We start from the raw sequence: 23412 nt of genomic DNA, 5'->3' as shown, positions 1-23412 counted from the left end.
GAGTTTTTAAAGAATAGGTAAATTTGGCACATAGTAATCACTCAACAAATGTGTTATTTTTAAAGAAAGAGTTTCTAGTATTGTTCAGATTAAGAGGGTGGCCACTGAAAAATATTTTCAGGACTACCAAAGGTTAATAAAATAATTACAGTATAAGGTATGGAAATTGGGGCTAGTTTAGAACTTGCTGTTTTTCAGCAAGGCAGAAATTTGCTGTGTATTATTAGAATGTGACAATTAATGATTTTTCCCATGGCTGGCTCAAGTGTCAGATAATTGACCCTGGTTTACGTCGTATGTCTCAAGATGAGGCCACAAGTCCCATTGAGGTCAATTACTAGGCATAAGTGTTTATTTCAAACAGTTTGTGTCTCTGCCATTGGTCTGGTCACACACACTAATTATCATCATCTTGAGGCATTGCAGTTGCCTGGTTGAGTGGAGGCACTTGGGAGCTTCCTGCCCAGGAACCCTCCGGCCTTGATGTGGTCTATTGGGAAATTGGTTACATCAGTATTGGCCATAAGACAGGATCTGACAACTGTCCAGACTTTCATTATTGCCTGATACATTCTGGTCACATACTGATATTGAACAGGTAGTAAAGGAACAGTCAGCACTTGTGGTTTTGTACTTCTTACCTTTTTCCTCACAAAAATAAAGCTGCTTTCATATTTTCTTCTTACTAATAAGATAGTGAGCAACCTGGGCAACATAGCAAGACCTTGTCTGTAAAAAAATTTTTTTTTAATTGGCTGGGCGAGGTGGTATATAGCTGTAGTCTCAGCTACTCAGGAGGCTGAGGTGGGAGGATTGCTTGAGTCCAAGAGTTCGAGGCTGAAGTGAGCAGTGATTATACCACTGCATTGCAGCCTGGGTGACAGAGCGAGAACCTTGTCTCTTAAAAAAAATAGCTATATATATATATATATATATATATATATATATATATATATATATATATATATATATGCCAGGATGTGTTCTATAGGTCTTGTGTTTATATTTTGTTGATCTTCACAAGCTATGGTGTAGGTGCTATTGTTATCCTCAATTTGCAGAGGCAAAAAACTGCATCACAGAGTGGGTGAGTAATTTATTCAAGGTCTCACAGCAAGTAAACAGAAGAGCTAGGTTTTAAATCTAGGCCATCTGGCTCCAGAATCTTTTGACAACTGTACTAACCTTCCTCTCCATTAGAAAGTATAGACAGTTATACTGAATATATATGAAAAGAACATGAACAACCATGTAAAACCCATCTAACCAGTGAAAACCATTCCTAGCACCTCACGCACGTACTTCCAGATTCCTTCCTTGAACTCTTTTTTTTTTTTTTTGAGAAGGAGTCTCACTGTGTCGCCCAGGCTGGAGTGCAGTGGCGCGATCCCGGCTCACTGCAAGCTCTGCCTCCTAGGTTCATGCCATTTTCCTGCCTCAGCCTCCCGAGTGGCTGGGACTACAGGCGCCCACCACCATGCCTGGCTAATTTTTTTATATTTTTAGTAGAGACAGGGTTTCACCGTGTTAGCCAGAATGGTCTCGATCTCCTGACCTCGTGATCCGCCTGCCTCGGCCTCCCAAAGTGCTGGGATTACAGGTGTGAGCCGCCGTGCCTGGCCTCCTTCCTTGAACTCTGATGGGAAGTTCTCTCCCCCTGACCCTTTTCTACTTCCAAGAGCTAAGCATAATGAACAATCTGGTATATATCTTCCCAAATATAGATGCAGTTATTCACATTGTACATATATAGGTAATTCATACACATTCTCATATATCCTCCTGTGTGCATTGTTCTGCTAAGCACTTTTTCTCACTCAGTATGTCCTGGAAATATTTCTGTATGTGTCATTGTATATAATTTAACACATTCTTAAACTGACTGCTTATATGGACTGCACCACTTCTGTAGGATGGGTGTACTATAATTTCAGTGCACCACTTTCATTGATGGACATTTACATTGTTGTCATATTTTTTCTATATTATTTTCAATAGTTGCATATTCTATATTATTTTCAATAGTTGCATACCTTTTATTGTATGAAAGTACTATAATCTCCTGTTTTGAAATTCAGATTATTAGAAGGTACAGGGATGAATATTCTCAAAACTTGGAATTTGAGCACATCCTTCCTTAGTTACCTCCCAGTCCCAATTAAAATGCTAAGTCCAAATGATCACCTTGTCATTTAAAAAACCAACTTACTGCGGTATATTTTCTATATAATTCAGTGATTTTCAGTAAATTTACTGAGTTCTACAACCAGCACCATAAACCAGTTTTAGAACATTTCCATCGGTTCTTAAAAGATAAGATTCCTCTCTTATCTTTTTACATTTAATCTCTACTTCCACACCGAGCCCTAGGCAACTACTAATCTACTTTCTGTCTCTAAAGTGTTTCCGGTCCTGGACATTTCATATAACCTGTCACTTTTAAGAATTTGATATCCATAAGTAGTATTTCTTTTCTTACTCTTTTGAATAATTTGGCCTATATACAACTCCTAGCTAGAACTGTCTATTATATTAGGGTACTGTCTTGAATAATAATAATAATATATATATTTTTTCCATTCCATAGAGACAAACTGCTTCTCTGTTTATAAGGCTTCTTTGGTAATACTTGCCATATTACAAGAGAACTGTTAAGCTTGTTTGGTTAATTTCTTCATGTGGTGGCTTGATAGTAATTGTTATTCTTGGCTTGGTTTGATTGAGAACTGAATATGCATTGATTTCTCAGAAGACTTGCTACCAAAATATAGCAAAAACTTACCAGAACCTCCCCCCATGAGAAGTAACACTGAAAAGTTCTCACTTATGACATCACATCCCAACTTACAACACCGGTATTGTTAGCTTCAAATTGCTTACAAACGTTCTGCAATTCTTTTGGATTAAGTAACTCTGTACTATTAAAATAATTTTTAAAATATTATTTTATTGCCTTTATAAACCAGTTTGGATTAAAAGCTAATATTTTTTAAAGGTTAGGATAATTTCATTTCATTATTTAATATTTCAAAATCTGATGATATGATCATATTTTGAAGTCATCTGATAGTTCCTGAAAGTATTTTAGATGTCTACTCCCTGCATTTATACATCTGTTTAGAGCCTGATTGTTTTTATATGGTGTGCTTATTTATTTTTTGTCATTGCACGTGAATAATTACTGTTTTCTGAAGACCTCTACTTTTTAAGAAGCTCCGAGAGAGTGGAAAAATAACCACCAAACTTGTCTGCCTCACTTTATTACTGAGAGAAAAAATTTGCAGAATGATATTAACTATATACTAAAATCTTAGCACACCAGAGTACAAAGTCAGGGACGGAAAACTTTCTGTGTGTAGCCTTTTGAAATGTATCTATAAGTAGAAGGCATTCCCAAGTCACATGCTGAAGAGCGGCGAAATGGCTTAGAGGCAGAGTTCTTAGGTGCCACTCTACCTATTTCAGGCAGATTCTGTCACCATCAGCCCTTCGTAGGTCACATAACTTACTTGATTTTAGTGACTTATTTAAAATCAGTAATTAACACCTCAAGAGGAAAAAGCTTTTCTTTAGAAGAAATAACAGATTTATCTTCAATACCTCTGAAACCTAAATGGTTGCTTAAGTAACAGCTGTTGCATTTTATCATCATTGGCAAACGGGAAAGGCAGCTTCCTCAACTTGTGTTTGTCTTCTAAAGGAAAAACCAAAGCAATATATAGCAACTGATGCTTATCCAGAAGAGATAACTCAGATGCACAGAGGCAAAGAGATGTGGACATCTAAATAAACCCAGACACTTTGTTCTTCAGAACTTTTAAACATAGGCATTTTCTCTCTCGGCGAGAGAGTGAGCTGTGATCAGTTGTGTGTGTAGCCAGGATGTTGCTAAAGCAAACTGACTTTATCTGCCTTGCACGCCTTCTCCTCTGCTTTGGTGTCATGCCTGTCTCCTTTCTAAGACCAGCTAACCATACTTGGTTTCTTCTGTCCTCTTTAACATCTTCATCTTGCTTTATTGTGCATGTGTATGATTTGAGGTTCTAGATCCTTGAACTGGGGAGTGACAACTTAGACACCCACAGAGACCACGTATCTATCCTACCTGGTCCTGCAGAGTGCCCTACACTGAGTGAGTCCTCTGTCTAAGAGTGCTGCTAACCATCTCCTCAAGGGCAGTTATCTGCCATTTGCAAAGAATGTACAAGTTCTCTAAATCTAGCAACTACATCAGAGATCTTAGATGATGATTCATTTGAAGAGAATGGGTTGGGAGTACTCATGCAAAGAGAAGAAGCATTTTTTTTTTGCTTTTGATCTTACTGCACATTAATTTTGAGTAAATTTGATAGTACAAATCAACCAACGGATATTCACATTTTGAGTGTCCCGTACTTGAGCTCCTGAGAGTGTGCAGAAGGGTGGAGTGCTTATCTTCAAGTAACACCGCCGGTTCACCACACAGCTTTCTTTTTAACAGAACACTGGAGGCTGCCGCTGTTGGGATGCATTGAGGGGAGGGGACCTAGCTACTTTTAAAAGAATCTTTGGGTATAGAAATTGGGGGAAGGAAGATGTGAAAAATAATGCCACTTGTGGGTGGGGTGGGGATGGATGTGAGAAGACAGACTGCTAAAAGCAGCCATGATTGGTGAGCACCTGCTGTGTGCCTAGACTCTACTAGGTACTCTGCAGCTCATTATCTCATTTAATCCTGTGAGTCAGGTGATGGTATCCATATTTTTATAGACAGGGAAACTGGCTTGGAAAGGTCAACACTTCCTCAAACAAACAAACAAAAACAGATGGAGTTAGTCTAATTCTTTCTATTTGTAACTAATTCGTCTTAAGATTAACATGTTCCTTCCTCTCTCTAGTTCCAAAATATCCCCCCTTCCACGGTCCTGAATTTTTTCACTTCTCTTTTGTATACTCTTGAACTGGAGGCATTTACAGTTGTGGAACATAGACCTTCTGAAATGCAAAACATCCTAGGGAAGAGAAATGTACCTTACTGTGTGGGTTGACTTTTGCCTTGCTTTGCTCAACTCCTAGCTGAGAATACCTGGACTTAAGATAATGGGGGCTGCACGTGGGAAGTAAAGAGAGGAGAAGAGGTAGTCTTTAAGCTTGGACCTCTAGAGGGGTGGGACTGGGAGCCCCACCCTGAGGGCTCAGAGAAGCAAAGACTCCTGAGGAGACAGCCACTAAAAGGAGGGCAAGATTTCACCAAAGGCTAACTTTTCCCCTTCTGGTTTTGTTAACGTTTTTCATCATGGAAAGGGAGGAAATGCACTGGAGGGTCCAGACCTTGGTTTAGTTCCTCTTTCAGTAGAATTGGGATCCTCAGATGAATGATGAATCGGTTAAGGGTGGAAATAACTTTTTCAGCAGTATACATACCCACCATAAACATTTTATTAACTTTAGAAACAGAAATGTTTAGGATTTCTCAATGTTTTATGTAGTGTCAAGGAATTTTCTTTTGAATATGGGTCCTCTGATTTGTGCCATTTCTTGTCTTTCCTGCACAAGCCCCACCCATAATCCTTCATCGATGTCCAGTCTTTATTTCTTTAAAGTGATGCCGGAACATCAAAACTTCAAAGCAGCCCAATACTGAATCCTTCCACATTTTAAGTTACATTTTCCTCGTAAGAATATTAAAGTTGTCTCAACCACCTCTAATTTTGCAGCAATCTTTTGGTAAGACTGTTTACCTTTATCAAGTCTTTCTAAAGCATTCAATTTAGTTTTGTGGAAATAACAGCTCACTTTCTTTCCAGACTCCAGTTTCATTGATTACTCAATATTTATTTAAATTATGTAATAATGGAAACAAGCAGGTTTGGAGACAAATACAGTGAGTCTTGGTAAGCATTGCATATTGACTAATGGGAGCAGAGTTGCCAAGCTTAGGTTGGCTAATACTAATGACAGCGGGCAGTTGCTTAATCATCCACATGCATCAGTATGTCTGAGTGAGGGGTAACTAATCCAGTGTGAGAGTCAAGTAGAATTGTTTAAGAGCACTTTAACTGTAGTCAAATGCTACACCTGCTCCTTAATAGCTTGAAGGAGCTATTTATTACAGGGATCCCAACAACTCGTGTGATTTGATTTTTACTATGAGTTGCACCTAGAATTGTAAACATTCAATATACTAATCATAACAGCGACCATGAAGGTGTTTTTTTTCTTGGGGAGGTGTCTAATCACACACACACAAAATCAGTATGATCAGAGAGGGCAGGAAATTGATTTATCACCCTCAGGGGCTTGATGTTGCTCTTGTTAAAGGGACAAGCTTGTTAGATGTGAGCTCACGCAAAGTATTGCCAGAGATCTCCTGCCAAGCTCTTCCTGTTATGTAAAAGCAAAAAGGAGTGGGCAGATTATGAAATTATTCTGTATATGATGATTAGTTCGTGATGGTATAGTGATTTGTTAATCTGGTTCATTACTTTAAAAAGCTTAATCATAGTCATCAACTTCCATATTTTTACTTTTTAGATAGGCAGAAAGAATTCAGACCAGTTATTAGTTGCTAAACAATTTGTTGTTGAATGAAAAGCAAAATCCTGGAAAAAAACAACTTAGAGTATTAGGGTCTAACAGCCTGAAAGTCATTGTAAACTTGACTTGTTTTTCTGCCCCTGAAATTAAGTTAGATGAATTAAAACAAAAGGCAAAGGCAGTTATTTAAAAAACTTGTTTTTGCTATTGCATATTTATTTCATATAACCTCAGATTTATTTTGATTTCCATTTCTTGGTGCCTGGCACCAGAATTTGTGCAGATCTATTTCAAAACCACACATTGTAAAATCAACACTATTGACAGTTATGGGTAATTGAATGGCAAATGGGGTTTCCAACTGGGTGCTCCAACTGGGACTCTTAAACAAGGCTTGACAAATTCTGCTTTGTCAGGTGTCATAAAATATGGTTCAGAACGCATCTGTAGTGTCAAGGGAAAATCACTTATGCCATTCCCTGTATTACCACTTCTGACTCTTGTCCGTCCTGAAGTAGGAATTCACATGGCTTATGATGGAGTCTTTGTTTTAGGAAACACGACACAAACGCTAAGACTCTTCAGATATCATCACTGAATCTTTAAGTTCAATCCAGTTGCTAGATTTGGCCTGTAACATTTGGCTCAGGGATTCCTGGTGGCCAAAGGAAAACATCACAAGAGTCACATTATCTGTAAGATAGGAACAGACTAGTTGTTTTAAAGAAAACTTCTCTTAAAACTCAAAGCAGAAAGATGTCAGAATGGGATTTAAGTAATTTCTGCCTTCAGCCTAGGGAATTGGCTTGTATGGCAGTTTTTTCCACTCCTTTTGTGGTATCTATATAGAGATAGGATATATGACTCACTTGGCAAAGGTCAGGAGTCTGAACATTTGGGTAATGAGTACCTTGTCCTAGGAAGATAAACTGAGCACAGTGTCCCTAGGACTTGCACGATCGAAGAATCCCCTTGGTTGGGGCTTGGACCTTTGCCAGCTCATCTGCAAAATCTTTTAAGTTGTCCTGATCAGCCAAAGCTGCTATCACCTGAATCTTGGTTGTTTTTACTATTAATAATATAGAAATATTTTGCCAAGAAAATCTTTTGTCTTTTTGTGGGACAGGTTTCAGAAATGGTCCACAGTCTCTGTAGATACCTCTAGTAATTGGTCTCAGAACTCATTGCCTTTAATCAGCCCTGGGGATCAGTGGGTGACAGATCAGTGCCTTTATGAAATGGAGTTACTAGGAATGGTGTGTCATTGCCTGACGTGCCTCCTTATCTGCCATAATGGAGTTCCTTATATATTTCCTGCTTGTCTTGTATGCCTTTGGATCTAGTAAGGAAATAAGGAGAGGTTGAGAAAATACAGAGTAAAGCTTTAGCAGGTATCTTCCCGTTAAGTGACAGGCAGTGATTTGTGCTTCTTTGGTTTTTATCATCGGTCTAATGTGAGTCATTCTTGTGCGTCAGGGTTGGATCTTTTTGCCTTTCCTTTCTCTTCTCCTGTTGACTTGACCTGGTTTCTTTAGTCTGAGAAATTGGACGTATTTTTCTTTCTTTGAGGAAAGGGCTAGTGGATAAAGCCCTCCCATAGAGAGTGTAACGTGGGTAATATTTGGGTGCCCTTTCAGGGTTAGGTCCCACTTTGTTCAAGGAATGCTGTATGCATGGGTAGATTATTAATAAGATGGTGGCCCCAGTAAATGTTGGTGTATGTGTGAGACTTGGTGGGAAGAGCTGCTTGCTGTAAATAGTGGCTCCTCTGCTCAGCAGTTTTGTGAAGTCAGTTGACTTATTCTTTAATTTCATCCCACCACCCAACATAAATTTTTTGGTTCATTAAAAAAAAAAAACTTTCTGGATGCTTTATGTTTGTATTATTTTTTAACCAAATTGGGTTCATACCAGATTAAATTTCAAGTTAAAGATAATTTATTATGGCAGTTTAAAAAAACACAGAATGTAAAGTGAATAGTAGAATGAACTCCATATCCGTATCTCCCAGCATTAACAATCAACTTTCTGGATTCTTGTTCTCTCTCTCCCTTTCCCCTACTTAGTTCTGGGGAAAGAGGGGCAGTATTTTAAGACAAATCCCAGACATCATACCATTTCACTCCCATACTTTGTTGTCATGTTCGTTTTTCAATTATTTACCTTTTGTCTGTTGACTTTTCTTTCTCTTGTTTCTGAAATAACACTTGGACTGTGCCCTGGTGATGTTATGAAGGTACACTTTCTGGTAGTGTTGTCCTTTGCATGGCGCTTGCTGGGCTGGTCTTCATGGATCCTGAGGAAGACAGCTCTGCTGGTATGCAGTTCACGTCTCAGTAGAACCTAGTCACCAGTAGAACCCAGAGGTATCACTGCTACCTCGCGACCTTGTACAGTTAGGTGAAAGACTGTGCACTTGTATACTATGTTTAGAAGAAATGGACTCAAATCTAAGTCATGATGATGTTTATTATTTTTTAAACCCATAAAGAAACCATGGCTTTGATTAAGACTCTCTAAATGGATATAGCTAGATTCTATTTTGTTTTTCTAATTACATAGACAGAAAACTTTTGACATTACAAATTAATCATTTATAAGTTTGCCATCTTTTGAGTACAGTAATAATTTATTTGTGCAACATTTCAGTTTTTTTTTTTTTAACTTTTACTTTAGGTTCAGAGTACATGTGCAGGTTTGTTATATAGGTAAATTGCGTGTCATGGGGATTTGGCGTACAGACCATTTCATCAACCAGGTAATAAGTATAGTACTCGACAGGTAGTTTTTCAAGCCTGACCTTCCTCCCACCCTCCACCCTCAAGTAGGCCCTGGTGTCTGTTGTTCCCTTCTTTCTGTCCGTGTGTACTCAGTGTTTAGCTTCCACTTATAAGTGAGAGCATGCACTATTTGGTTTTCTGCTCCTGCATTACTTCACTTACGATAATGACCTCCAGCTCCATCCATGTTGCTGCAAAGGACATGATCTCATTCTTTTTTTTTTTTTTTTTTAATGATTGCATAATGTTCCATGGCATATATATACACCACATTTTCCTTATCCCGTCTATCATTGATGGACATTTAGGTTGGTTCCACATCTTTGCCATTGTGAATAGTGCTATGATGAACATACATGTGCACATTCTTTATGATAGAACAATTTATATTCCTTTGGGTAAATACCCAATAATGGGATTACTAGGTCTAATGGTAATTCTGTTTTACGTTCTTCGAGAAATCACCAAACTGCTTTCCACAATAGTTGAACTAATTTACATTCCCACCAGCGGTGTGTAAGTGTTCCCTTTTCTCCACAATCTTGCCAGTATCTGTTACTTTTGGCTTTTTAATAATAGCCATTCTGACTAGTGTGAGATGGTATTATTGTGGCTTTGATTTGCATTTCTCTAATGATTGGCAATGCTGAGCATTTTTCCATATGCTTATTGGCTGCATGTGTGTCTTCTTTTAAAAAAAATTCAGCTTTTAAAAGTTTCCATGTAAGTTATCATGTTCAAGTCCCACAACAGCACTGCAAGTAAGGAAAAGTATTAAATTCCTCCCAGTTAAGTCAGAGAAAAGTGGAAGATGAGAGGGGATTAGTTAATGACTTGATTTTAGGTCTGTGGTCTCCTAGACTAGAAGTCCTTTCTCTTTTAAATGTGTTTTGAGTTGCTTTGGAATGGTTTTGAAATGGAAATGTGCCTTGTTCTTTATATTTGTTTCTTCAAAGTTTTGTCTTTTGTTTGGAAAATTCTCAATACCTCTGACCAGGTCTTGGAGATGCTCGGGCAAACTACACGCTTCTTGGCATCCTATTCCAGGACAAGGCCAGGGCAGAGTGCATAGCCCCTCTTGGAGCCGTTTTATTCCTGACATTACCCTCTCTCCGCTATGACTTTGGTTTCTACCTCTCCACTGCTACCCCAGACCCAGGCTGTGACCATTACCAGGGATTTTTATTTGGGTATGCTGGTGACTTTTGTGACAGAGTGGAATTTATTTGAGCCTAAAGTGTCTGGAATTTTTCCTGGAGACTCAAGATACTTGATACAGTAAAGAAATTGTTCTCAGATTCCTCTATCCTTGTAGACATTTTGGTTCAAGCACTTAATTGCCCAATTTCTTTCAAAGGGAGTAATTCCAAAAAAGATTTTTAAAGTATCTAGACATGAACATTCTAATTGTTAGATATTAATTTTTTTTTCTTAAGAGGCAGGGTCTTGTTCCATTACCTAGGCAGGAGTGCAGTGGCACGATCACAGCTCACTGCAGCTTCCAACTCCTGGGTTCAAGCCATCCTCCTGTTCCAGCCTTCCACAGAGCTAGGACTACAGACTACAGGTGTGTGCTACCACGCCCAGCTGACATGAACATTCTATTGACTTAAATTCCTCTGGGGAATAGAGTAATGCTTCAGGGTTTATGCTTTATTCAAAACCAAAGTTCTAGTTTTAACAAATAAAACAAAGTTCAGCTTTATTCAGTAAAGCATAAAAGAAAATAAATTTCTATACCAGCAATCTAAACATTTGTGTACTTTGTTTCTCCCAAAGAGAAACATCAGTTAAAATTGATTTCCTGCTCAAATGTCTTGTCTGCTGCAGGTGTATTTCCTAAAACATGATTTATGCATTTGATTTAGTGACGTTACATGTATTTGTAGTACCGAATAGTTTGAATAATAATTGAACATAATTTCATTGCAGATATTTTAACCATCGGTTATTATTCAATGAATTATTTATATAAAATAGGTTAATATAATTTCAAATATGAAGTTGCTTTGGAAAAAGTAAAGGAACACCAGCTAAAATCAGGAGTAATGGGTATTATGGAATATTTTCAACAATAGGCAGTGCTGTTTTCAAACACGTAAAGTATTCAAAGTCATTGGTTAACTAAATGTTGTGAAACCAAAGTTCTGGTTTTAACAAATAAAACAAATCTTCAATTAGTACACTAAACGTTTATAAATAATACAGGCAAAATGATTCCTAAATTGCTTAGGAACAGTTTATTTATTTATTTATTTTTGTACAAACAAAAAGCTTCATAGAAAGTCTAATGAGATTTGGGACTTGTTGGAGATTTTATGTTTTGTGGGCATAGCTAGGCTGAATTAGCCAGTTATGGTCAGGGGGCTACCAAAGAACCTTTTCATAAATGGAAATTGGTAGAGCCTGATGAGACATCAGAGGCCTTTATTTTAGTGGCTGTGTGCATGTGGGGATGGCCAGGAAGAGGAGAAAATAGCAAAGTGGAATATTTTTATTTCACTGGGAAGTTGCTCTCATAGCCTAGTCTCAGCCTTGCTGGTGTGTGCCTTGTGATCTTAAGTAAAACACTTTGATTTGATGGCCCCAGTCTGTGTATAATTTGAGGCTTTAACTAGAACCTGCGACTTTCACATTGGGTACTTGACCTCCCCCCAGATACAAGGTGGTAAGCCAAGAAGTATGAGGTAACTTGCTAAATACAGCATATATTTTTTAAAGATTTAGGCAAAGATTGGTTTTTATATTAGTACAGCCATGACTATATTATTAGAGCAAAGCACAAAATTTACATGTAGTTTTAAGGTAAACTATAAACATAAAAAACTGCACCTTTTATTAGAGCCCCTTGGGATGATGCACCTAGACATTCAGGTGGCTGTTTTTGACCTCTACCCATAGTATTCTTGGGAGAAAATATTCAGGAAGACAGTTGATATTTTTTAAAATAAATTTCATTGTATATATTTAAGGTATATGACATGATGTTATAGGCTACATATAGATAGTAAAACAATTACTATAGTGAAACTATCATTTCATATGTTACTCAATTTTTGTTTTTGTGGCAAAAGGAGCTAAAAATTTACTCATTTAGTAAGAATCCCATATACAGTATGATTTTATTACCTATCATCCTCATATTGTACATCGGCGCTCTAGACTTGTTTGCCGGTTGCTAGATGACATCCAAAATCTTATTTCACTCTTAGTTTATATCATTCCTATCTAAGAACTGATCATGGATGCCTTTTCATCTTAATAATCAGGTGTTTTGTTTTATTATTGTTTTATGTAGTAGGTTATTTAAAACAGCATGTGCCATCTAAGTAGTGTAATTCCAATTATGTTAAAATATATAGGCCCACTTTTTCCATTTATTCTACAGTACATATCAAGCGCTCGCTATATGTGAGGCACTCTTTTGGACTTCTGTTTTTGTTTTTTGTTTTATTTCTTTTTGAGACAGTCTCGCTCTGTCGCCCAGGCTGGAGTGCAGTGGTGCGAACTTAGCTCGCTGCAGCCTCTGCCTCCTGAGTATCTAGGATTACAGGCACCCACCATCATGCCTGGCAAATTTTTTTTTTTTTTTTTTTTTTTTAGTAGAGACAGGGTTTTGCAATATTGACCAGGCTGCTCTTGAACTTCTGGCCTCAAGTGATCTGTCCACTTCTTCTTCCCAAAGTGCTGGGATTACAGGCATGAGCCACCATACCCAGCCTCTTTTGGGCTTTTAAGGAGTACATTTGCTTTGTTTAAATATTTAATTAAATTGTTAACATTTTGAGTACATAACAAATTCACATGGTTCAAAATTCAAATGGCATGAAAAGATACATAATGTCAAGTGTACCTCCCACCCTTGCCATCCAGGTCTACTTCCTGGAGATAGTGGATGTTGCTTTCAAAGCCTTCAAGTGATATTGTATGTTTTTATTACCAAATATGTACATATCTCCTTCCTTCCCTCTCTTACACAAATGGTAGCATATGTTAAATCAAGTTTAGTCTAAAGCTGCCTCCTTAAATATTTTAAGTTCAGTGTAAAGGTTTCTCTGTATATAGTGAACTGTACCTAAATGCAGGTGTAAACAGACTGTAACCTACTCTTGTGCCAATCACCAATTTTTGGTCAATCAAAGGGGGCCAATTGTTCAAACTGTATTCAAATAAGGCAAACACTAAGCTGTAACCACTCCAGCTGTTTCTGTACCTCACTTCCACTTTCTGTACATCACTTTCCTTTTTCTCTCTATAAATCTTCCACCATGTGGCTGTGCTGGAGTCTCTGAGCCTACCGTGGCTTGGGAGGCTGCTTGATTCATGAATCGTTCTTTGCTCAATTAACCTCTGTTAAATTTAATTTAGCTAAGGATTTTCTTTTAGCATATACAATACCTATGAATCTGCCGCCTTGCTTTTTTCATTTGACAATTAGATTTGTCCTGAAGGATATATACCTGTTAGCACTGGTTATCTCTGAAAGATAAGATGGAGGAGGCTTGGCTTGCGGTGTCTGTTTATCTGTCTGTCTATGTATTTAACTTTCTGTATTTCTGTATTGCCTGAATCTTCTTACAGGGAGAATATTGCCTTTTCGATAAAGAGGGAAAGTCCTTTTTGAAAAAAGAGATAGCGTAAGGTAATTAAATCCACACAAACACATATAAATCGGATCTTTGATTTTTCTAATAGCTCCCTCCATGGTGGAAGTTTTGGAGGAAGTGGGTGTATGTGTTTGTGGAAGGCTTTTTGACCTGGGATAGGGAGTGAGCAGGGGAAGTCTCTGAAAGAACCCCCAAGGAATGCTTTTATAACTTTGCCTTAATGGTTAAGGAAAGTGAAACTACATGGATTTCCCCCTTTAGGCAGCATTTGTCTCCAGGTGTGGTAACTCATTTTAAGGAACTGAAAACACATTCCAGAATCTTCTATCAGCATCATCGATGGTATCCCCAGTTGGAGGTGCACTACTCAGTTGGGGAGCACACAGGCTTTGGAGCCTATTGTTGGGACTCCTCCGCTCAACATGTGACCCTTTGTAGGGCACTTGACCTTGAGTACCAGGTTGCTTGGTACCATTTGACCTTGAGTACCAGGAACCTTGAGTACCTAGGTTCCTCACCTGTCAATAGATATTCATTTATCCCTTTTTGTAGAATTGCTTTGAATTTAGTGAGCTTATACTTTTAAAAAGCTCGGGTCATAGTAGGCTTTCAGTACGTGTTAGCTATTATCATCACCCTCCTTGCTAGGCAGAGCAGGACAGTGGGGAATTGATGTTTCCTCCCCTCCATCTCACAGGTGGGGCAGGGGTGTGCTGAGAAGAGAACTTGGGACTCTTGGCCCCTGTTCAATTCTCTGCTTAACCTGCTAGGCAATTTGGGCCTCTGAAAATTCAGTAATCCTCATAGCAACTTAGACGTCACCTGGGCCTGTGGTCCCCTTCCTAGCCTAGGAGCCAGAGCATGAAGCTCCATCTGTCACATTGGTTTGTTCAGAGAACTACACATGCGTTTTATTTTAGCAGCATACAGGTTCCCACTTAGGCATTGAGAGGACATAGGAAGCTGTTTAACTTCCTAGTCTTTAAGGTGTGGACGCTGAAGAGCTTAGCTAGTAATGACAGTATCCTGTAGAAAAAGCTATGGCATCACATACTGATTTTCTAATTACTTCAACCCATAAGGATGCTATAATGCTTTTGTAAATTACCGTCTAAGCTATATGAAGTAATGCATTCCATCCTGCAGTGCAGTAAATGTTACTATACTCTTGTAAGTAGTGGCATGTGTTTCCAAAGTTGAGGTTAAATCCAGAAAGGCTGCGACACAATAATTAGTTTTATAATTCTTCATGCAGACTGATGGAGAAGTCTTTACAATTTTGACTTGCCTCTTAAGACCCCTCTAGGGTTAGTTTCACATTTATTTTCCAGTTTCTTCAGTGTTAGATTTCTATTTTAAAAGGCGGGATTATTTCATAACATAACTACCATGTGTTAGGCATCGCAGAATTGCCATCTGATAATCTAAACTCAAGTACAACAGCAAAGACAGCTGCAGAAGAAAAATTTTTGATGTCCTATGTCATAGCCTAAAAAGCCCCACAAGAGGGTCTAGCAAGCAGAGGATAGTAGTTTTACAGGAGAGAACAAGTGAGACAGAGCCCTTCACAGCACATAACAGGGGTTCGGCTCTTGCATCATCTGGTTAATGTGCTAGAAATCAAGCATGAATGCCTTTTGTGTTCTCAAGCTCTAATTGCAAAACTTGTTTATCCAAGGAAAAAATAAAATGAAACAAGAGAGACATGCCATTGGCTGTCACACGGCCAAGGTTCTCCCATGCCTTCCTAGCTCATCTGACATCTTCCTCTCCTACTCCCAGCATGCCCCTAAGTCACCTTTTTTTTTGTAATCAGATCTCAGGTTCCTTTATCTTAGTTCATAGTGATTATTTCGCAGAACATGACAACTCGCTTAAAAGAACAGTGATTGATTTCATGGAGCACTTATAAAACATAGGTACTGAGTACTTTTACATATGTTATTTCATTTAACCTTTATGGTAACTTGATTAAAACTTTGTAACTTTTCAGGTAGCTTTGTTTTTGTGGTACACTGAAGGAAAGAGGACTAGGGAAGTTAAAAACCTTTCCCATGATCACATGGCAGAAACTGGGAGAGTGAGAACTGGAATCCAAGTCTACCTGATTCAAAACTTGTTCTTAGTCTGAACTTTACCATAATAATAGCTGCCATTTATTGAAGACCTACTGTTTTCTAGGACCTGTAAAAAAACAACTCTCTGAGGTTACTAACTTAAACAATGGATCAAAGTTAGTGTTACCAGTAATGGGGCAGATGGATAGCTTCTGTTCTTTGATATGATCAGAGTGGAACACAACATTACTTCTGGGGCATTCTTGCCAAAAATGCATAACCTCAATTTAATCAAGAGAAAACATCAGAGAAACCCAAACTGGAGATATTCGGTAAAAAAAAACTAGCACCCTTCAACTGTCAGGGTCATGAAAGGTGAAGAAAGATTGAGGAACTGCCACGTATTAGCAGAGACTAAGGGGACACTAAATAATTGTGGGAACAGAGAAAAGGCTATTAGAGGGGAAATTTGTGAAATTAAAAAGAAGATATGTCATTTAGTTAACAGAATTCTAACCATGTTAATTCCTTGGTTTTGATCATTGTACTATCCTCATCTAAGTTGATAATATAAAGGACTCTGGGTGAAGGGTATGCCTCAGTTTTTTGTACTATTGCAGCTTCTCTTTAAACCTAAAATTATTTCAAAATAGAAAGTAGGCCGGGCACAGTGGGTCATGACAGTAATAACAGCACTTTGGGAGGCTGAGGCAAGAGGATTGTTTGAGCCCAGAAGTTCGAGACCAGGCTGGGCAACAGAGTGAGAACTCTTCTCTACAAAAATAAAATTAAAAATAACCTGGCATGGTGGCACACACCTGTAGTCCCCAACACTCCAGAGGCTGAGGTGGGAGACTGCTGAGCTGTGATTGCACCACTTGCATTTCAGAGAAAAGAAAAGAGAAAGGAAGGCAAGCAGGGATGGAGGGAAGGAGGGAAGGAAGGAAGGAAGGAGAGAAAGAGAGGAAAGAGGGAGGAAGAGGGAAAGGAGAAAGAAGGAAGGAAAGGAGAGAGAGAGAGAGAAAAAGAAAGAGAGAAAGAAAGTAAGTTAGAAAAAGTTTAAAAATCTATCTGAGGTTGATATTATTTATTTTCATTTTAGGATAAAGAAACAAAAGGCTCAAATGTTAGATAACTTACTCAAGATCATACAAATGGTAATCATTAGTGAGTGAAGGAAGAAAAAATCTTAATAGTCTTGGAGATTCCAAGGCCCATGTGTCTTAGTTCATTCCGTCTTCTATAACAAAACACCATAGACTGGGTGGCGTATAAACAATTGAAATTTGTTTCTCAGAGTTCTGGAGGCTAGAAAGTCCATGATCCAGGTGCTAGCTGATTCCCTCCTTCTCCTGGACAGCTGTCTTCTCACTGTACTCTCATGTGGCAGAAGGGTTGAAGAAGTCCTCTAGGGTCTCCTTTATAAGGGCACTGATCCCATTCATGATGGCTCTGCTATCATGATCTAATTATCCCCAAAAGGTCTATATTCAGTGTATAGCACCACATTAACTGCTATGCTTTATAGCTACCTCGTTTTAAATATTACTAAACATAGCCCTAGCCCTGAGCCAAAGCCCCTTTCTATTACATAGTCTTTATTTTATACTGAAAAAATGGCATCTTTGTGCCTATTGAAGAAAAGCAATGGATATATCTTAATAATATAGGATATATAGATTATATGTGTGTGTGTAAATAGAGCAATATTTATAGAGAATTAAGGCAATTTAAAACAACACATGAGAAAGTATACAAATCAAAGTTTTTTGTTTAACCAAGGAAAATGAAACTAGTCATTATTAAGTGTTGTAATTAAAAAAAAATTTCTACATCCTGGGTCTCCAGATTATAAAGGTCATGTTTATCTCTTTTTCTGCTGCCCACCTTTTCCAAACTTTCCTGTACAAGCGATGCTTATACTGTTTAATTCAAAAGATAAGAAAGCCATCTTTTTGTTTTATATTATTAAAAGATTGATAGTTTGAAAAGATATGTAGATTGTTTTCAGACTTTAAACCCAAAAGAAGAATACACGTTTAAAAGAAAATCCTGCAGTATTTTTAAATACTGATAAAATATAATTACAATGGAAATCTTTTTAAACTTGAAGAAACGGATCTTTCGGCTCTATTCATCTGTAAACAATTTAATGATAAATTCTGCATAATTCTTCTATGTGATATCATTAGAAATGTAGTACAAAGATCTAATTTAAAATCACTTACTTTCTGAGCCTCCATGTCTTCATCTGTAAAATAGGTACAATACACTAACCCAAAATTTTTGCCGAGATAATTTGATAATCTTATAAAGTCTTTTCAATTAAAAGACTTCAGTATACGTTTCTTCCTTTAAAAAAACTTTTTTACTTCTTCTTAAGACTCTATTGTAGAGTTTATGACTCCTGAAGTTAATAACTTCCTTCTAAAGACTTTACAAACTTTGACCTTTGTTATTTTGATTTACATGTGTGAGGCATTTCATGAAAATGCAGAAAACAAGTTGCTGTTTGCCAAGACATTGGATCAGCTAGCATAGTGTGGTGCTATTTTTAATAATACGTAATTCCTGTGGCCATTTGATAAAACTAGAAGCTCATTAAATGAAGCCCAGAGTGACAGTCGTATGAAATTCAATTTCATAAGACCAGGACTATTTCAGGGATGGTTTTTGAGAGGAGCTGTAACTTAGATCTGTCGGCTAAATTTAGTCTGTCAGCTCGCTGGGTCCCTCCTCTCCATTGCTGTTTATAATAGAGGATGAATGTTTGTGTGTGTGTGTTTTTTTTTTGGTCAGAATGGAGTGGGGAAGTTGTGTGTGTGTGTGTGTGTGTGTGTATGTGTGTGTTTGTGTGTGTGTTTTCTTGAAGGGTCTCCACCTTTGAAAAGTCTTTATAGCTTTTTATTGATTATAAAAATAGTAGCTATTCATTATAAGAAATATTTGCCTGTGAGAAAATATGCAGAATTGTTAAGTCACCAGGGGTAACTTGTATCAGTTTTGTATGTAGACCTAAATTCTTATTTTCTATGAATATATATCTGTGATATAGATGTCACAAAATCATGATCATGCATTTTCTATATCCTTGAACATTTTCCAAGAAGATACTTTACAATTGTATGGGATTGCTTCTAAGGGCACTGATTTGTTTAATTTCCTATTGTATATGGGAGTTCTTCTTTTCCCCCTTAGATTAGCTGATACCAACTGAAACTCACAGGTCAGCTGTCAATTAAATGTAATCCCAATTCTTAATTTCTAAGGTTACTACCATGTAAAACTTGCCTAATATAAAAGAGATATATGTGTATATCAAGATATACTCTAACCATCTAGTTTTATCTAATAGTTTCAACCTCAATAGTCTCAGAAAAATGTATTGAAAGGAAAGGAAAAGACAACTCACCTTCCACCCTGCATTTTACAGCTAGAAAGAGACCCAGAGTGCCACTTTCTCCTTTTTCAAACTTGGCAGCAAAAAGATACTGACGTTTAGCCAGCCAGCTGGTTATGATTTCATTCTTTCTTGGACCGCCCTATTTTTCCTTCCACACCACAGTTAAACCCCCTGAGTGGTAACAGATAGAGAAGGTCAAGGGATAAAGGCTGACCTGCTACATAGGCTGTGCCAGGCCACCCTTCGAGCCTGCCCAAGCCCACTGTGGGCAACTTCTCTAGATTCTCCTTAGCTCATTTGCTGAGTGTGGTTGGCTTTTATTAATGTTAATTTTTAAAATCTGGCAAAATACACAAAAACTTACCATTTTAATCATTTTTCATATTGTTGTAGAATCATCATTTTCATCATCTCAAACTGAAGTTGTCTGTTAAATACTTGGACTCAGAACAAAAAGACATCCCTAAGGCCAAAAGCAATTGGATCTAAAGAAAACTGAATAATAGTGATAGAGAAAATTCACGAAAGGATTTTTTTTTCTCATCTCCTTTCTCCATTTATTTACTCCAACTGCTTTTTTAGCTAAAGACAAAAGATGCTGTAGTCATGGGTGGCAGAACCATGCTTTTGTGTAGGCAGTGCTCCCAAAGTTTGTTTACAGTGCTTTTGCTTGCACCTCAGATCATTTTTCCAGAATGTTACGGATTTTTTTTTTCTTCTTCTTCTTTTTTTTTTTCTTTTAGAACACTGTTCACGATCACTTTTTCATATACCATGGGACTCAGGCAAACCCTTTTTAAATTCCTGGTTATATATTTGTTTTAATGTTCATTAGTATTTGTTTGTTTGTTTGTTTGTTTTCTTTAACAGCCATCAAGGCTAGGCATGGTGGCTCACACTTGTAATCTCAGCAATTTGGGAGGCTGAGACAGGAGGATCACTTGAGTGCAGGAGTTCAAGAGTAGCCTGGGTAACAGTGAGATCCCATCTCTGGGAAAAAAAAAAAAAAAAGCCAGGTGTGGTGGCACATGCTTGTGGTCCCAGCTACTCAGGAGGCTGAGATGGGAGGATCATTTGGGCCCCAAGAGGTCACTGCTACAGTGAGCTGTGATTGCACCACTGCACCGCAGCCTGGTCAACATAGTAAGATTCTGTCTCAAAAAGAAAAATGCCATCAAATACCTGTTTTCACAGATATTGTTCCTTAGAACAAGACTTAGTTAAAAAAAGAGAGTGTGAGCTAGTTTAAAGAACAGTATTAAGTAAATAATATTATAGGTGGTATGAAGAGGTAGCAAATTGGTGTACAAGTAATATTTGGGGAACAGGTTCTGAATGGTCTTTCAGTAGCCCACACCTCATTCCATAGCTTTGGCACTCCGCTGGCAGCAGGACGAAGCCAGGTAGGCAGTGGCATGGACGTTTCTGTACTGATTCTGCTAATGGGCTGAGGAGGAACTTGAGGACCTGGGGGAACTGAGAAAGCCCACGTCTCTTTCTAATCTGGGTTTCTAGGAACATACTCCAGACCTGGGTAGCGCCATCCCTATGATTGTATTCTTCTGCTGGTGTTATTTTTACAGCTTGCAACATTAGAAAGGAGAGAGGAATTTTTTTTTTTTTTTTTGATACAGAGTCTTACTGTGTTGCCCAGGCTGGAGTGCAGTGGCACTCTCAGTTCACTGTAACCTCTGCCTCCTGGGCTCAAGCGATTCTCCTGCCTCAGCCTCCCAGGTAGCTGGGGCTACAGGCACATACCACCATGTCTGGCTAATTTTTGTATTTCTATTAGAGACAGGGTTTTACTGTGTTGGCCAGGCTGGTCTCAAACATCTGACCTCAGGTGATCCGCCCACCTCAGCCTCCCAGAGTGCTGGGATTACAGATATGAGCCACTGTGCCCAGCCAAGGGAGGATTTTTAAAAGTCTATATTTCAGCCTGTCCCATTTTTTGATTCAGATCTTAGATAGAAAAAGGAAGTTTTATTTTGGTGACCGAGATATAGGTCCTGGTTGGGTGAGTCTTTCTGAATAATGCTCAGTCTGCTGGTAATTTTGTCACTTACTCAAGCTTCAGGCCTTGAGATGGGCAAAAGAGCTCTGTTCTCTTCTGTTTTTCTTTCCTGTTGCTCTTGCCAGAACTGCCGTTGCCAGGAAGTTTGGGGCAGGTCCCAAGCAACATGGGTTCCCAAAGAGGGGTGGGAGTAGAAATCTCTAGAAAATATGACTGCAAGAGAAGGTGAATTCCATGACTGCCTGGCCTTGGTGGCTGTGTCACAATTGCTGCATATATTTTAAAATGTATATGTAAGTCCTGGACTTGAGAATTCTTAGGAAACCCTTCTTCTTTTCTCTCTTTTTGGTCTTTCCTCCTACTCTCTCTGTAATCTTTAGTTTTTTGAAAGCATAGAATGATATGTAATTATTATTTATAAATCATGTATAAACAATTGAAATTCCCTGACCCTCTCCAATTCTCTATCCCTGTCCCTCCGTAGCCTCTGTATGTATATGTTTCTAGATGTTTTATGCTTACATACACGTGCACATATATATATATATATATAAATGTATATGCCCACATATATGTGAATGATAAATACATTTTTCAATTAATATGTATTTCTACGTCACAGATATGTTGGTATGTACAGATATACCACATTCTTTGAAATGACCACATGGTATTCTGTTGTGAGGAGGCATCAAATTTATTTATCCAAACCACAGTGAAGGATATTTAGGTGCTTTTGGAAATTGTGTTACATAAATAGGGCTGCACTTTTGAACACACATCTTGACTCATTTTTAATATATCTGTAAGTAAGAGATGGAATTCCTGGGGCTTAAAGTATATTATACATTTTGGTAAATAATGTCACATTGCCCTATGACTGTCATAAAGGTTATGACAGTCTTAACTAATTTTTGCTCTTATTTAATCTGAGCATATGTTATTTGTACTTGTCTACTATTTCATACTTTTGGCATATTTTATTCCATATATTCTGCCTTAGCCTGTGCTCCTTTTTCCCCTACACTATCAGGAATACATAGTGCTTTAATAGTAGATGTTCAATACGATATGGGTTTTAGGAAGAAAAAACCTCCCTACTCATTTGAGAATAATGTAGTAACCCCAAGCTCAGTGCATTGTCCTGTCATTTTTGTGGACACTGTTTTGATATTCCTTAAAAATGGATAGTAAACATCAGGTAGGTACTAAGATATCAATTAAGAGAAAGTACTCCTATTCACTAGACACTAGTAGTGATTAATCCCACTTAAAAAATCCACTTATTCATTCAGCAAATATTTTTTCAAAGCCTATTCTGTGCTAAGTGCTATACTAATCCACCGAAGGTTTTATATCTTACTATATATATATGAGTTTGGGGTACTTGAATAGAAGTTACAAATTAGTGTATGAATAATGCCTTTGAGTGGTTCTGAAAACATTTTAAATTTTACTGCTGTAGTTGGCTGTGAATGAAGAAACTTTGCCTAGGACAGACTTTAGGACTCATTTGTCTCAGTCTCTGTTTATGATCTGCTGAAGAATCTACATTTTTCAGGTTAGATGCTTTATAGAATGCAATCAAAGTTAAAATTTTTAGCCATAGGTTCTAAAACTTAAACAAAACATGAGTGAATTGTAGTCTGTTTCTTTCTGTCTTCCCATCTCTCTCTGGTATGCCCTTAGTTTAAAAAGAGTTGTTTTGTTTGGGTTGCTCTGCCGTAAAGAAGGAATTTGAAGAGGAATCAGTAAAAAGAAGGAGATGGCTCCATTAATCAAGTGTGAAAGACTTTTCCAGGAAACAGGCTAGTGTAAAAGCTGCAAGTGAAATGTATAAATACAGATCTAAGGTTTTAAAAGAAGATACACTGCTCTTGAATTATGGCTCCTAAAAAATCCAAGGTAGAAGCAAAATCACTGAAAATATTTCAAGAGCTGGCATTTGGATATCTTGGTTATTAGGAGTAAACATTTTGAAGCAAAACATGTGATTAAGGCTCTTGAGAAGAGGAGCTTATCCTGCATTATCCAG

General features: G+C 37.8%; 1 protein-coding gene across 14 annotated transcripts in view, besides 1 other annotated feature; it reads left to right on the top strand.

Annotated features, from left to right (window-relative positions):
- SGMS1 (sphingomyelin synthase 1) overlaps window positions 1-23412 on the top strand; it is a 319585-nt gene that overhangs the window by 223816 nt on the left and 72357 nt on the right. Inside the window, exon 1 of one of the 14 annotated variants that reach the window (XM_047424978.1) lies at window positions 1-23412. This exon is cut by the window's left edge and continues 15468 nt beyond it. The exons of the other annotated variants lie outside the window; for them this stretch is intronic. The gene's annotated coding sequence lies outside the window, so the exon portion shown is untranslated. 14 annotated transcript variants of the gene reach the window in all.
- Window positions 9846-10372: an enhancer, noted in NCBI's record as "NANOG hESC enhancer chr10:52150757-52151283 (GRCh37/hg19 assembly coordinates)". NCBI's record gives its function as "activates a minimal SCP1, AML or CMV promoter by ChIP-STARR-seq in naive H9 embryonic stem cells {active_cell/tissue: H9 hESC(naive)}" and the evidence as "EXISTENCE:reporter gene assay evidence [ECO:0000049][PMID:30033119]".

The sequence above is a fragment of the Homo sapiens genome, chromosome 10 (genome assembly GCF_000001405.40).
Source record: "Homo sapiens chromosome 10, GRCh38.p14 Primary Assembly".
NCBI lineage: Eukaryota > Metazoa > Chordata > Mammalia > Primates > Hominidae > Homo > Homo sapiens.
Note: the sequence above shows the minus strand (reverse complement) of the source record. Positions and strands in the feature narration are given on the sequence as shown.